Source organism: Homo sapiens, chromosome 18 (genome assembly GCF_000001405.40).
Source record: "Homo sapiens chromosome 18, GRCh38.p14 Primary Assembly".
Lineage (NCBI taxonomy): Eukaryota > Metazoa > Chordata > Mammalia > Primates > Hominidae > Homo > Homo sapiens.
Window position 1 is genome coordinate 37,407,234 of NC_000018.10, and position 15,537 is coordinate 37,422,770.

General features: G+C 50.7%; 1 protein-coding gene across 125 annotated transcripts in view, besides 1 other annotated feature; it reads right to left on the reverse strand.

The window, feature by feature from the left end:
• Positions 1-15,537, reverse strand: part of CELF4 (CUGBP Elav-like family member 4) — a 322,955-nt gene that overhangs the window by 164,390 nt on the left and 143,028 nt on the right. The window lies entirely within an intron of this gene.
• Positions 14,163-14,766: an enhancer, noted in NCBI's record as "H3K4me1 hESC enhancer chr18:35001359-35001962 (GRCh37/hg19 assembly coordinates)". NCBI's record gives its function as "activates a minimal SCP1, AML or CMV promoter by ChIP-STARR-seq in naive H9 embryonic stem cells {active_cell/tissue: H9 hESC(naive)}" and the evidence as "EXISTENCE:reporter gene assay evidence [ECO:0000049][PMID:30033119]".

Here is a 15,537-nt window from a genome sequence, read left to right on the forward strand (position 1 = left end):
GAAAACATTGTCCCTACCCAACAACATCACTCCAGGGAGAGGGCTGCTGGATATTTACTCCAGTTCCTGCCAAGCTCTTTTTAGAATGAGGCAGGTTTTGCCAGCCCAGCATGAGTGAGCAGACATGGCACCTGCCTGGCCATTCCTGGGTCCCATCACTTCATGGGCTGTTGCTGGATGAGACAAATTTTATCTGTGTTTAATAAAGTCCAGTAGTGTGGCAGCTTATGAATCACAGTGTAACACAAGAGAATGGATACCAGATAAATATGTGTGTGTGCATGTGTACAGGTGTGTACATGTGTGTATATATGTATGTATATGTGTATATATATGTGTGTGTATGTGTGTGGGTATATGTGTATATATATACACACATATACCCACACACATACATACAAACGCACACGTTAGGATGTTCAGGCATTAATAACAATAAATATTGTTATTAACCTGGTTCACAGCCTGCAGTCTGGTTTAATATACGAAGTGAAATGGCAGGTCTGCATCTGTCCTTCCCTCCCCTGCTCCTTGCCTTCTGTCTGCTCTCCAGGACAACACTGCACATGCCATATTGGATTCCATTCTGGTCCTATTCGGATAAGCAGGAGATTAAATAATGAATGAGATTTCCATTAGCTCAATTTTTGGGGGGCATATTTCAGGCAACCTTTTCCTTTTTTAATCAAATCTGCTCTGTACCACAGAATATTTTTACATTGATTTTGGGAAAAAAAAGGATTTTTAAAAGGACTGGTTAAACCGCAACACTGTGTGTACCGAAATTTGGCTGGCACAGAATACTAGTGAGGAGAAGCGGCTGGGATGCAGCTGGAAGGCAGAAAGTGGAATTTGGAATAGCTCTGAATCACTGGATGCTAGCTCTGTCTACCTTTCCTCTTTCCCACCTCACCGCCCTCCTCTCTCCCATGCCAGGGTCTCCTGCTCTTAGACTGATGGGCTGGGGAAGACAAGTGGCTCCTTTGTTCTTATTAGTAAGCAGGATTATTTATTAAAATTCTATATCCATGATAGGAATTATGAGCAAGGTACCCATCCTTCAGGAAGCCTCCTTCTTTGAGTTGAGGCTACTGTCTTTCTCTTAGGAAGACCCTGAACCATATCTTTCAAAGGACTGCAAGGGACCAAGCACCCAACTTTCCAGGAACGTAAGAATCTGCTGTTTCTCAGCTACCCTGACTACACACATGGAAAAATCAAGAAGGTTTTTTTTTTTTTTTCCCCCTTTGGTTGGTGCCGGGGGGGGGCGCGGTGCAGGAGGATGTGAGAGGAGGAAGCCTGGAGATTCCATACAAGTCTGGCAAATCTGAAGGCCTCATCACACTTCACTTTATGATTCTTCCCGTTTCCTAGAATTGGAGGCAGAGTTGGGAAGACCCAGTTCTCGGCTCCTTTCCCCTTGGCTCTTCTCAGAATTTCACAGCTGCCCTTTGTTGAGTCCCAGCCACAGCTCCTAAGTCTGAGAGTCTGGATTCAGGCTGGGGACACCCGGCGCACCCTCCCCCGAACACGGGCTTCTCTTTTTGGTCCTGTCCCACCACCCAGCTCTTCAGGGTACAGGTATCGCCGCCTGCTCCGTGGTGTGTGGGGGTGTTTGTCTCCCTCTCCACCTGCCCACCTCTCTCCTAGCTCTGGTCTTAGGAAGCACAGATGCCATGTCCTAGTCCTGCATGGGTCCCTTTCCAGACAGCAGGCAGAAAGGTCTGTCAATTCATCATGGGATCCCCCGCACCGGGTGCTTAGAACGTATGGGTTGACTGAATGACTCCAAATGAAGGCTCAGGGTGTGGGGGCAGGGGCCAGGACTGCTGACTGTCCTCAGATACCCAAAGGGTGGCCATGCGGAAGAAACCCTGAGCCTGACCTACATACTCATGTGCTGGGAAATGTGGCTCTCCCTGGCGATTTGATTTCCCACATGAATAAACACTTTCCCACCAGCTTTCTGGGAGGACTGACCAAAACCTGGAATGGGTTTGGTGCCTCTTGCCCTTTTGATGACTGGCCTGAGAACTAGGAGCCAGGGGGCAGCCAATGGGGAGGGCCCCCTCAGGATGTGATGCACTGCTTCCTACTGAGGGGCAAACTCACCATGTTTGAGCTAGGAGGAATCTTGGGGGTATTGCAGTCCCCCAAGGATGCCTCATTGTGGGGGAGGGTTGGGCAGACAGTTACTGCAGAGGAGGTTGCTGTGTTTTGGGACACCCCTTGCTGTAAGCACGCTCTTCACTGAGCTGAAATCTGTCTGCTCATCCCTTGTGTATCTGGTTTACTCTACGCTATTCTGAAAAGTGGGTAGGCAGACCCTAGCCTGCACCCTGTTGTCGAGGTCCAGAAAGCCAAGTGTGGGGGGCTGCATCAGGGAAGGGAGTGTCCAGAGTGAGGGAGACCCTGGCGGGGGGTGAAGAGAATGGGTGACAGAACCTGGCAGGTGACAAAGACAGGAGGGGGAGCTGAGGGACATGGTAGGGAGGGGACAGAAGTGTCAGGACTCTGGGTCTATACTTGAGACCTAGCAAGGGGACAGGGCTCTGTTTACAGATGGGTTTCTTGCTTTAGGTTTCATGCTTTACCTGCCCAGGCCCAACCACCTGCCATTCTGCCATTCTGGGCTCCCTGGGGCACTGCAGACAGAGTTTGCTTTACAAAGTGACCCTTCACATGCAGCGCCTCAGGGCCAGGCACACCCACTGGGCCCAGCCTGAAAGCTCTTCTCTCTCAGGAATTTTGGTTGGCTGCTAATATTGGGATGAGAAAGGCCAATGAGAATGATGGAGGCGGAGACGGCCTCAGGGCCACTTTCAGGTGTTGACTGGACTGAGCGGCTGCCACTCCCCGTGCCGATGTGTGTGAGGTTCTCGGGAGAGCATGACAGGAAAAGGACAGAAAGAGGAGAAGAGCAAAGCTGGACTCTCCCTACCCCCGCCCCTGCCTCCCTGGCAGCCTAGGCTTACACAATCCCTGGCTCCTGTTCCAGGCCCAATTAATCTACTCTCTCCCCTGTCTCCTTCCTTCTCTGCTCCTGAAGACAAGGAAAGGAGAGTGTGCCCTTTTGGCTGATGCCTCTGCTGAATTATTTGAGAGATGAGACTTTAAATGGATGTTTAAAGGGCCAGAGGCCTGGGCCTCCACTCCTGGGCACATGAAGGTCCAGGGCTGCAGGCCAGTGTGGGCACGCTGTCCCCCGGCCCACCCACTCCACACCTGGGCTACCAGAACCTCGGGCTGGCAAACCCGACGATAGGGCTTGACATCATGCCTGTGTGTTCGTGTGTGCGTGTGGGCATCCCTGCACACGCTGTGCCAGCCACCTTCAGTGTGCATGCTGGTGAGAGCTGTCTCTGCACATAGGCCATCTACGCTTTTGGCGTGTGTGTTGGGGTAGACGGATGTGGCATGTGAAGGTGAGAGTGTGCCCAGCAATCGCATATTGTATGCCTGTGTGCATGTATGACCAAGTGACTTAGGGTGCGTGAGTCAGCCTGCACACCCCCGTCACCGCAGATGCAAGGAGGGCACACAAGCAGCCTGAGGTGGACATGTGCCTGTAAAATCCCCTGCCAGGGCTGGGCTGCTGTTGGCCTCAAGGCCTGAAGTGGAAATGAATGGTCCAGCTGCCCTGCAGGGGCACTGCTCCCTTGATCCTGGAGTTCTGCATCCGTGAGATCCAGAGATGGGGAGAGGCACTACTTCCCAAAGGCAGAAACCAAGAGTTTTTTTGAGACGAGGTCTCACTCTGTCACCCAGGCTGGAGTGAAGTGGCACTATCATAGCTCACTGTAGCCTCAAACTCCTGGGCTCACGAGATCCTCCCACCTCAGCCTCCTGAGTAGCTGGGACTACAGGTGTGTGCCACCATGCCCGGGTAATTTTTGTATTTTTTTGTAGAGACGGGTCTCACTATGTGCCCAAGCTGGCCTCAAACTCCTGAGCTCAAGTGATCCTCCCACCTTGGCCTCCCAAAGTGTTGGGATTACAGATATAAGCCACTATACCCAGCCCAAATAGCCTGATTTTTAAGGGAAGAGTTTTGAAATTTATTCAGAGTTCAGAAGTCTCGAAGAGAGGGAAAGCCCATCCCAATGTGTGGGAGACGTGTGTGTTTATGTGGGCATGTGGCTGCATTGTTGAGGCTGTGTGAGGGTGAGGGAACATGGTCCCACATTAGCCAGTGGCACCTGGTCCCATGGGTATCTGTGTATGTGTGTGTGCATGGCAAGAAAAATAGGGTCTGGCTTTGACCAAACCATCTCCAGGAGGTGAGGCCATGGGGTGACTTATTCATGAGGGGCACTGCTGCTACTTGCTTCTCACTTTCTGATGGGTGAAGAACGTTAGGTATTAACTGGCATTTAAAACACACAAGATACCTAAAATCCTACAGAATCCACCAAGTCCAGCCTAATCAAAGTTCCCTGAAACCCAGAGAGCAGCCAGCACCAGGCAGGGCTCTCCCCAGGCTTCAGAGATGGGCAGCTCAGCAGCTTATCGAGAAGGGCAGTGGCAGGCAGGAGATGAGGCGGGCTGCATGGGGAAGTGGTGCAGCTCCCTGCTAGCCTAGATAGGCCCTCTCAAGGCCTAGTTCAGCTGTGCCAACTGTGCCTCCCTCCCAGCCAGGACCCGTGTCCAGGGGCTCCTAGCCACTGTTTCTCCTGCAGGAGGGTAACTGTGCCCTCCAGCCGCCTGGCATACCAAAAGCAAGGTCATCTCCCTATCCACCTCTTCCATGGAGCAGATCCTGACCACTCAGCACCCTTTTCTTTGCTGTGGTGTTTTCTTTATTTTCTTCCCTCCTTCATGCTGGGGGATGAGGAAGAATACAACCACATAAGACCTCTGAGTCAGCCGTCCAGATTTGAATTTAACCCATTCAAGTTTGCCAAAGATTCACAGAGTACCTACTGTGGCTTAGGAGCCGAATGTCCATTGCTGGACAAAACAGATATGATACCTTCTGTTGCAGAACTTCCAGCCCAGAGACGGAGACTGCTTATGGCATGTTATAAACCAGAGTGTCTGGTGCTGTCTGAGGATACAGAGGGTACAGCTGGGGTTCAATGAGAAACACATCTTATCCCAATAAGAGTGGAGATTCCAGGGGGCAGAGACAGCATGTTTCTTCTTGCCCTCACCTCCACAGTCCTTAGTCCAGGCCTGAATTTTCACAGAATATAGATGGATGGATGGATGCATGCATGCATGGGTGGATGGGTGAGCAGATGGATGCATGCATGGGTGGATAGATGGATGGATGGATGGATGCATGCATGCATGTGTGTATGGATGGGTGGGTGCATGGGTGCATGTGTGTATGAATGGGTGAATGGTTGAGTGGACGGGTACGTGTGTGTGGATGGGTGGGTGGGTGGATGGATGGGTGCATGTGTGTATGAATGGGTGAATGGATGGATAGATGAGTGCATGTGTGTATGGACGGGTGAATGAATGGATGTTACTTCTGCATCACACTCTGCTCTCTTAGCTTTGGAAATTTTGGTTGGCTGCTAATATTGGGATGAGAAAGGCCAATGAGAATGATGGAGGCAGAGATGGCCTCAGGGCCACTTTCAGGTGTTGACTGGACTGAGCGGCTGCCACTCCCCGCGCCAATGTGTGTGAGGTTCTCAGTTGTTCTCGGTGTGAGGTTGGTTGGTGAATTGGGTCAGAACTCAGTGCTGAGTAGTAGTAATGATACTCACTGCCTGCTCATGGCTTATAGAAGGCTGCGGGGGCTGGGCAGAGGGGCTCCCCTCCCCGCCCAGGCTGTGCACACACATTATTGGCTCGCTCTTCAATCATGCCTTTCCAGCTAGCTGCTCCTGTCACAGCACATCTTGTTAGCCCTGGAGGCTCAATGAAATGGAAATTCATGTTTAAATTTAAAAACAACATATTGACCCTGGGAGCCAGCGATGTCTACATTTTTAATAACTTACTCAGAATGAAGGCTTGGATGAGTATGCCTGTTTCTTCATGTCTGTGTGTCTGCGTGTGTTCACGTGTGGGTGGACATGTGTGTTTTAAGGGGTGCATTTCTGCGTTTGTTCATGTGGGTTCCTGTAGGTGTGTTCACCTATGTCGGTGAGCATCTGTGTGTGTAGGGGGTGGTGGAATGTCAGCATTTGCTCTGGAGCTCCGTGGTTAAGGCTGTGTAAGGGTATGTTGTGGGGCATGTTGGAAAGGTTTTGATTTGATTGGGGTGTGTTTGTACAGAGGGCCTGAAAACAGGCCACACAGGAAATGAGACAATTTTTGTTCCCACTCCTCCATGCCCTCCACTCCTGTGACATGTATTTTGGGCATCGCCTGTTCTACAGTTCCTCTTTAGTCTGGTCTCCTAATCCAGATGACCCCATGGACCAGTTATGGAAAAAATCTCAGTCAACTGAAGCTGGTTGAGTCCTGAGAGGGCACCTCATCCTCTTTCATTTCTTGGCAGAATCAGAATTAACCACTTGACAGTGCTTTTTACTTGGTCAAGTCCCACATCCTTCCAGAGCCCCATTCCTCCTCTCCAAGGAGCCTATCATCCTCCCTTATGTGCAGTGCCCTCTGGTGTGAAGGAAGAACTGCAATATGGTGGTCTGGAGACCCAGGATCTTGCCCTTCCAACCTGCTGTATAGTTGAGCAAAATGTCTATACTCTCTGTACCATAAGTCTCCTTTGTAGGGTGAGGGGCCACATTAAGGCCTCCAAAAGGCCCATCTTAAGGGTCTGTCAACTGTGATGTCATGATCTCCACTCTCCAACCCAGTCTGATCACCATCATCCTGTTCTAAGCACTCTCAGTGTCAAGTCATTGACACTTCCTTTCTGCTTTCCAACCTGACATAGCAGAGATAACCATGAAGGCAGGGCAGGGATTCGGCAAACACTTGCTCATTGACTGAAAACAGTATAATGCCAGTTTCAAGTTTCTTATTTTTCCATTCATTCATCTATCTATCTATCTATCTATCTATCTATCTATCTATCTATCTATCTATCTATCCATCCATTCATACTTGCATACATGCCTCCATCTACCCATTTACTCTTCCACTCACCCATCTACCCACCTACCCATTCATTCTTTCATCCATCCATCTATCTACCCATCCACCTATCCATCTACGCATGTATACTCTTTCACCCACCCATTCACTCACACCCACTTACCCATCCATTCATCCACCTATCCAACTATCTACTCACCCATTCTTCTATCTATCCATCTACCCATCTACTCATTTTTTTTCTTTTCTTTTCTTTTTTTTTTTTTTTTGAGACGGAGTCTTGCTCTGTCACCCAGGCTGGAGTGCAGTGGCGCGATCTCGGCTGCAAGCTCTGCCTCCCAGGTTCATGCCATTCTCCTGCCTCAGCCTCCCGAGTAGCTGGGACTACAGGCAGCCACCACCGTGCCCGGCTAATTTTTTGCATTTTTAGTAGAGATGGGGTTTCACCGTGTTAGCCAGGATGGTCTCAATCTCCTGACCTCGTGATCCACCCACCTCGGCCTCCCAAAGTGCTGGGATTACAGGTGTGAGCCACAAAGCCCGGCCCTAATTCATCCATCCATCCAGCATTCATCCACTCATCCATCTACCCATCCACTCATCCATCTACCCATCCACTCATCCACCACCGATCCACCCACCTACTCATCTATCTATCCATCTCCCCACTCATCCACCAGTGGACTCATTCTACAAATATTTCTCCTTTCTTATTGTACTCAAAGATGTAGAAGACAACTTCCATTCTTGAGATGCTTGCAGTCTACTAGGGAAGATGGTATGTGGAAAGCAGTGTAAGAGGTATGTGTAAGAGTGGGCCAGGGTGCTCTGGGGAGATGTGGAGTAGGAGAAAATATGTCTGTCAGGCAGGATCAGGAAAGGTTTCATGAAGCAAGTGGTGGCTGAACTGAGCCCAGAGTGCTGGTTGGGTCAGATGGAGAAGGGAAGAGACATGGAGGGTGAACAGGAGGGCAGGGGCCCTCTCTGTGGTGGCCACATGGAAGGCATGTTTAGAGAATAGTGAACCTGCTGACCTGGCTGGTGTAGGGTGTGATAGTGGAGAAAATCCAGCCTAGCTATCTATTAGTGGCCTAGAACACTTTCTTTCCCATCACCTCACAATTACATCATGACACCCAGGAGAAAAGCAGGGAGGCACCCCTTGTTTAGAGATTGGAGACTTAGCCCAGGATGGTTGAGTACTGGCTCAAAGTCACGCAGCAACTTTGTGGTAAAGTGGGGATCATACCCAAGTTTCTGAATACCTTGAACTCAGGTTTTTTTCCCCCCAATGATGGGAGAAAGTGCCCATCTAGAAAGGTTTTTGGAAGTCTTCTTTTTTTAACTTTAAGAGAAGTGGAAAATGGTCTTCAAGCACTTTGTTTTTATTACCTATTGAAATTTGACATAATGCCTTGGCAGTTCCCCCTTAATATTCTGCTGTATATGGAGCCTGACGATTTCTACCATCGAATGTGGCAGGTTGGGAAGATTAAAAAGAGGAGCTAAACTAGCAGTAGTTGGAGATGAGGAAAAGTAGCACATTTATGAATAATTTCAGCTGAATCCTCACAACATGACACTCCCTGGACAGAACACATTCATTATCTTATTCACCACGACTACTGCAATATTAGTGATTTGTTACTGAATCAATTATTAATTCATACAGGAGAACGAGGCTCTGTCACTTAACTCTTCTCTGAATGTTGGGCCCAGGGTGGGGCAGGGAGGAGGAAGGGTCAGATTTAACCTTCATTCTCTTTGGTATCTTTCAGAAGGTGGCAAAACAGCAAAGGGTGGTGGAAAGTGGAAGAGCGAGAGGTTTGGGGAGCATCTCGTGCCACTTAGAGCCCTGGCCTGAAACCATAGACACCAAATACACAGGGCAAGGCAGAGCCCAGTGGTCCCTTGGGGCCATTTGAGGTCATCCATCCATCCATCCGTCCATCCATCCATCCACCCATCCATCCATTCATCTATCCATCCATCCATCCATCCAATATATTGCCTGCCATTTGAAGTATCTGACTCAAATAATTTGCTCTTGCCTGTAATCCTCCCTTCTTTGACAACCCATGCAGATCCTCCCCCTGTCAGAACCCAGCTCCTGGGTTTCACCTCCAGGAGCCCCAGCTTTTCTAAGCCTCTAGCTTCCATCCTGGAAATCTCTAGTCCTTAGCTTGACTGCATATGGTTTTCACATGGGTGTCTTGTCTTTTTAGCCCAAGATTCCCCAAAGCATCTTGGTACCTGCTTCATATCATCTGGTCTGCACTTTAACAAGGAAGATGCTGGAGCCCCACCACAGACATATGGAATCAGTATCCTGGGACCATGGCCTTGGAATCAGCCTTTAAAAACAGGACCCAGGGGATCCTTGGGCACACTGCTCAGCCAGCCTGGGGGGCCTCTCTGTCTTCTCATGCATCAAGCCCAGGGCTGGGTCTTCAGGAAGCTAGGGGATGGGAGACTCCAGTGTGTCCTGGCCCTGTGAACAGGCTGTGGTCTTCCTCTCCCTCTTTGGGCTGCACGCTCCCTGTTGCATCTGTCCTGTGTTGAGAAGGCGGGAATGCACTTCTGCAATCAGGTAGGCTCAGAAGCAAGACAGGTGGAAATGCTAGAGGTGGTAGCATCTCTCTGGGGAACAGAGAAGGGAAGAGGAAGTGAGGGCAAGGGAAGTAGACAAAGGAGGAGGAAAGGAAGGAGGACAAGAAGAAATGCAAAAGGGAGAATAGAAGAGAGAGGAAAGGAAAGGAGAAAGCAGGAAGGAAGAAGGAATGAAAGGAAATCATTAAAGAGAGGAAGGAAGAAAAGAAAACAGAAAAAAAGGGAAAAGAAAATAAAGAATGAAGTCTTCCTGTGATGGGAAACTGCCCAGGCATCCTGACAGGCCTGCACAATTGCACCTCTGTATAGTTTACGGACAGGGAGAACTTGCTGACTGGGCTCCAAGTGCAGGAGATAGGGCTGCTTGGGAGCTGGGTCTGGGGGGTAAACATGCCCATCCATAGGGATGGTTCAGCAATGAGCAGTCACTGGGGAGCAGGTAGCTGCCTCTAACCCCTTCCTTCTTCCAGCCACAGATCCTTTCCAGCCAATGGCCCAGAGACAGAGCACTGGGCTTCCCCTGCCTTTCCACTTCTCCTGCCTACCAATTTCTCCGACTTAACCTGTGGGCAAGTCTCCCTTTCCCTATGTTCAAGATCCTTCCCCACATCTTCTCAGGACTCTGCCCAGCAGAATACAGCAGACTCAATGAAGCCCCTCTGTTGGCCAAGTGGTGCTATCTCCCTTTGGAAGCCCGTAGGGCAGGTCCTGCAGTGATCCAGTGAGGTGCTTCTTGCAGCACTGGCCAGTAGCTGGAACCACCAGCTCTCCCAGGAAAAGTGCTGCTCCAGGGCCCATCAGGTCAAATAGGAGAGAGACGGGGTCAGTAGGACAGTATCCTGCAGATGCCATCCTCACCAGGACTGTGAAGGCCAGTCTGATTCTAATCTTGGCCAGATCCTGACCATGTCAACCCCATCCAGATGTCCTGTAGCTGCTGTTAGACCCTCTGGATATCCTAGACTCCCTGCAAAGACCATTCAGAGCCAAGACCCACAAAGGGGTGGGGTAAGAAACATCACCTGCTCATAATGAGTCATGTGATTGATAGCTTATGGGTCTGAAGGATGTTTGGGGTCAACTGAGCTTCAAGTTCCTGAACACTTGCTTTTAACCCTCAGTTTAAAGACTGGAACCTGCCTACTTTCCTGGTATGCTTGCTTTCCTGGAAGCACTACCAGTGAGGGGCATCATGAAAATCCACCTATCTTTCAAGGCAAAAGTGATCTGATGAAAGGCCCCAATTGTCTTTCCTCCCCAGTTCTCTTTCTGTCCTCTCCCCACCAAGTTGGAAATCCACATGGTTGGGGAAGGTGAGCAGTCCCACTACTGAGCTTTGCTGGTGGCAATTGCTTTTGAATACACAAACCAGAGGTGGGCAGTGGGGGACATTGGTAAAATATCTAATGACTGTAGCATGGAGGTTTCAAACTTGGTCAAGCACGGGCAGGTCTGATTTCTGTACCCTTGTAAACCACAAGCAGTCAGCATATCCCCATTGCTCACTCTTGGTGTTTGTCTCCCCAGTGGCTCTGCTCTCTCTTCTCAGGACCACCTGCCCCCCACTGAGCCTCTGTCTGTAGTTTTGGGGCCTTCCTAGACTTGGCTTCATACACACCCTGCTGCCTCAACCTTTCAATGTCATAGCATTTTCACAGTGAATGACACTTTGGAAATCACCTAGCCCAACCCTGGAAAAAGCAGTGAAGAAGGACCCAGAATGTTTGGGTTCTGGCTGTGTTCCTCCCACAGTGTGACCTAGGTCAAGTCACTTGGCCTCGCTTACATTTTCCTCATTTCCAAAATAATAACACATACTCTGCCTGTCTCGTAGAATTGCTGAGGCTAATCAAAAAATACTGTAAAGCACATGTCAGACAGGAGGAAGATCATTGATCAGTTTTCTAAGAGGAGAAACTAATGCTCAGAGAGATTCAGGAACTTGCCAAAGGCTCATAGCTTCTCAAATCACTGAATGGGTGCCTGCTCTCAGGGATGTGTGCATTCTCTGAGAGCCAGGCTTTCTGTCTGAGCAAAGGTTAGGTGTGCTTGATAATTTCTTCTGGAATACTGAGCTGACATTTCATGCTGTGCCTGTGTCTAGTCTAGCATAGGTGCACATGGTAGGTGTACTTCTGGGGATGAAGAGTGGGAGACCTGCTGGTGTCCTCTGGTATGGCTGGAGCTGGGGTGTCCAACAGTGAACTCATAGATACAGGATCCCATCTTCCTCAAGAGTGGGGCACTGCTCTGTTCCTCTCTATTTCCTCAGCACCTAGTGCAGAGCCAAGCACCCAGAAGGGGCTAAGTCAATGTTACAGACTGATTGTTATTCAATATCGGTTTTACTCTTTTGTTTGATTACATGGATTTTACAAATGAATTGGACTTTTAAGTGGTGAAACTGCATTTCTTTAAAATAATTCCAGAAGTATCTTCAGGGTCACAACTCAAGAAAGATGCACTGAGGAGGAGGTTAGTCCTTCTGGAATGTTCTACTTGGAGAACCACTGGCACTCTGTGAGTCAGGAAAAGACGCAGGAGAGATGGGGCCAGAGTTGAGGTATGCGACTGCAGGGAAACCTCACCCCCTGAGCACCTGCTTTAGGAATGTTGGGAGATGGAATGTTGTCAGGCCTGGGAACTGGCATCGGACCAGGAAGGATGGTGGCATTCCTGGAAGATGGATGGGGAGAGGAGCTGCCTCAGGGTGTGGTCAGGGGGAAGGGAGGGAGGCGGCCATGTGGACACACGTTCTCCTATGCTGGTCAGGTGGTCAGCCTGGCCTTCCTCTCCTGAGAGGGTGGAGAGAGCTTAGGCAAGACTGTAAAACCCTCAGGGACGCCCTCCGGTACCCAAAGTAGAGGACCCAGGGGATGATGAGGGTTTGCTCCACACTTGGAGGGTCCCTACAGGATTTTTTTAAGGACAAAGAGAGAACCAGTCCTGTCTGGGTTAACAGCCCATCTGCTCCTCAGGAGACCCTCAGCTTCAGGCCAGCCTGGCTGACAGCGAGGATCTTGGGGAAGAATCTAGCCCTGTGGTGGCCCGAGGTCGGCGGGAAGGGTGTCCTCTGTGAAGGACTCACAAAACGGCCACTCCGGGGTTCTGGCAGCTACATCTAGTCATCATGTGAGCCATCTGCTCTTGGTATCCAGCAACACATTGATCCACATGCTTTTGACACCCTGCTGGGAGGCTTGGGGGTGGGAAGGGTGGACCGAGGCCATCCAAGCCCTGGCCTAAAAGTGGCCTGCTATGTGGTGGGGGAACCTTGACCCTCAAAATAGAAGGAGCTGCAGGGGCTAATTCAGGTCCAGTGTCTGATAGCAGGCAGCAGCTGGGAGAGGCAGTGTGGCCTCATGGTTAGGGTGCAGACCCTGCAGCCAGAACCTGGGGGTTGCAAAACCTGGCTCTACCGCTCACTAGCCATGGAACACTGGGCAGCCACTGAATGTCTCAGCACCTTGGTTTCCTTATCTGGTAAGAGGATGACAGCACTTAGCTCACAGTTCCGATGAGGAGTGAATGAAATAGTGTGGCGTGCTGAGAATGGCTGTGAACGGGAATCCTCAGGAAAGGCTTTGTGTAGGAGGTGGGACTTGAACTGGGTGGCGAGAGAGGGAAATGCATGGAACTGTGTGAGCCAACGTGTGGGGGTGGGACCCGTGCTGGGAGCACTGGGTGGAGGGGCACTCTGTCTACCTCCTGGCTGTGGGGATGTCTGCCTGGCAGGCTGTGGCAGGGAGAGGGTGCAGGTGCTTGCAGGATAGCCCAGCCTCTGCTAGAGAACAGGTGACTCGTTCTCCAAGCATGGGGCCTGGAACCTGGCTAGTGGAATCATTGCTTCACCACAAAGGTGGAGCCACAGGCTTCCTGCATCCCACAGAGAGAGCTTTCTGAGCACAAACTGCAAGCCAGGCACAAGCCACCAATCTCTCCAGTGCCCTGCCTTCCCATGGATCAGAGACTCCCAGCTTCTTGGAAGCCCTGCCTCATGGTCTACCTGGCAGCCTTGAGGGACCAAATGACCTTGCTTTTCCCATTAAGAGCCTCATGCCATGTTTTGTAGTCCTGTTCCCATCCAATTCAGGTAAGAACTTGGCTTGAACCTAGGACATTCCTAGTCTCTGTAGCCAAGGTTCTTCCCTCCTCCTCTTCTTTCCTTTCCAACTCCTTGACTCAAGTGTAGGAGCTGCTGAGTCTTTGGTCCTGATCTTTCTGCCTCTTCCCCATCCCCTCCCCAACATCCCTCTCCGGGCATAGGCCCATTCACATACTGCCAAGTGTCTCACAGTTCCCTATCCGGGTCATGGGGCAGGGCTAACCCCACTCTCTCAGTCTGTTGAGATGGAAACTAAGGTTCAGAGAGATTGAACACGAAGCATGTTATGAGTAGGGCTGGGATTAGAACACAGGGCTCCCAGCTCCCTGGCCAAAGCATTTCCTACTCAGCTGCCTTCTCTCCCTCCTTGCGCACTGGCTGGCCTGGCCACAGGGGCTGTGGGGCTGTGCAGCCTCCTTAAACACAGGGCGGTTTTATCACTAACACCCTGGGCTCCGCACAGCTTTCTTCTTTAGCTGTGGTAGGCCAGCTGAATGCATCTCTGCCTACAATGAAGAAGGCAGCCTAGGAGTCCAACCCCAGCCTCCTGCCCTGATTAACGGCCACCCCTGTCCTTGATTGTGTCATGCGTGTGAGTCATGTCTCCCAGCCAGACAGTGACCTGCTGCCTGCTGCCATGGGCACGTGCCCCTCTTCTTTGGGGTACCTGTGGCCTGAGCACACAGTGGGGGCTCATGGGAGCCCACCAAGTGATAAACAGATCGGAGGCTCAGGCTTGAGGGTGACTGAGTTCGGTCATTGCTCTCTCTTTTGAGAGTGGGCTTGTGGAGCAAAAGAATGGCCAAGCCAATTCCAGGACAGTCACGCGCAGCCTGTGAAATGTGAGCTGTAAAACACCGGATGTGAATTCAAGCCTTCCTCAGTCAGCATGGATTAGCATGGCCTGATTCTCTCCTCGGAAGGCAATCCTCACACCTCCCTCTGGTCACCCACGCGGTGTCTTTTTAGAAAGCAGCAGAATGTGAGCAAACACGGAGAAAAGATATTCCTGGAGCCTTGCCCTTAAGAACTCTCATTTTCAAAAGCTGGTCCTTCCTGTCTAACTGAAATCCCTCTTGCTGGAAGACACGGCGCTCAGTTGTGTGCTGGGGCAACAAATTATAACACTGGCTAGACAAGTGAGGAAACTGAATGTGGTGGGGAGGCGACTTCTCCCAGGAGATCACAGAAGAGGCCAGGGCCTGAGTGGGGCCTGTGTAAGGACCAGATTCCAGACCCCAGGCAGCTCTTGCAGGCTCCTCTCCTCCCACTGAGATGGGAGCAGGGAGAATGGCAGCTGCCTCCCAACTATGATGGCCAGTCAGGGGCCACCCTTGTGGCTGAATAAGAAACACAGCTGCATTTCCCTGTTTCGGCCATGTGGTCAGTGAAACAAACAAGACATTTATCAGGGAGGAAGGAGGAGCTGATTGGCTCCCAGCTCCCCTCCCCCAGCACACTTGTAGCTTTGACCCCAAGCCCCTGCACTTCTTAATGCAACACTCAAAAAGCAAAGTCAGCCCTGCAAGTGTCAGGAATAAGTGGGGGAACCAGGAGAGGAGCCTGGGAGCCTGGAGGAGGGAGCAGCTGTACCTGAAGAAGAACTGAGAGATGGATGTGTGTGTTAAGCATGTGGGAGTGAATGTGTGCCCGAGAAAGAGCAGGCCAGAGTGTGCGCACATGTGTGCATGCATGCATGTGCCAGCACATGCATGAAAGTGAGAGAGAGCCCTGGGTTTAGGGCATGCTGCCTTTGTACAGTTGCCCTGTTACATTCGTGGCCATAGGGAAGCCATGCCTTGTTA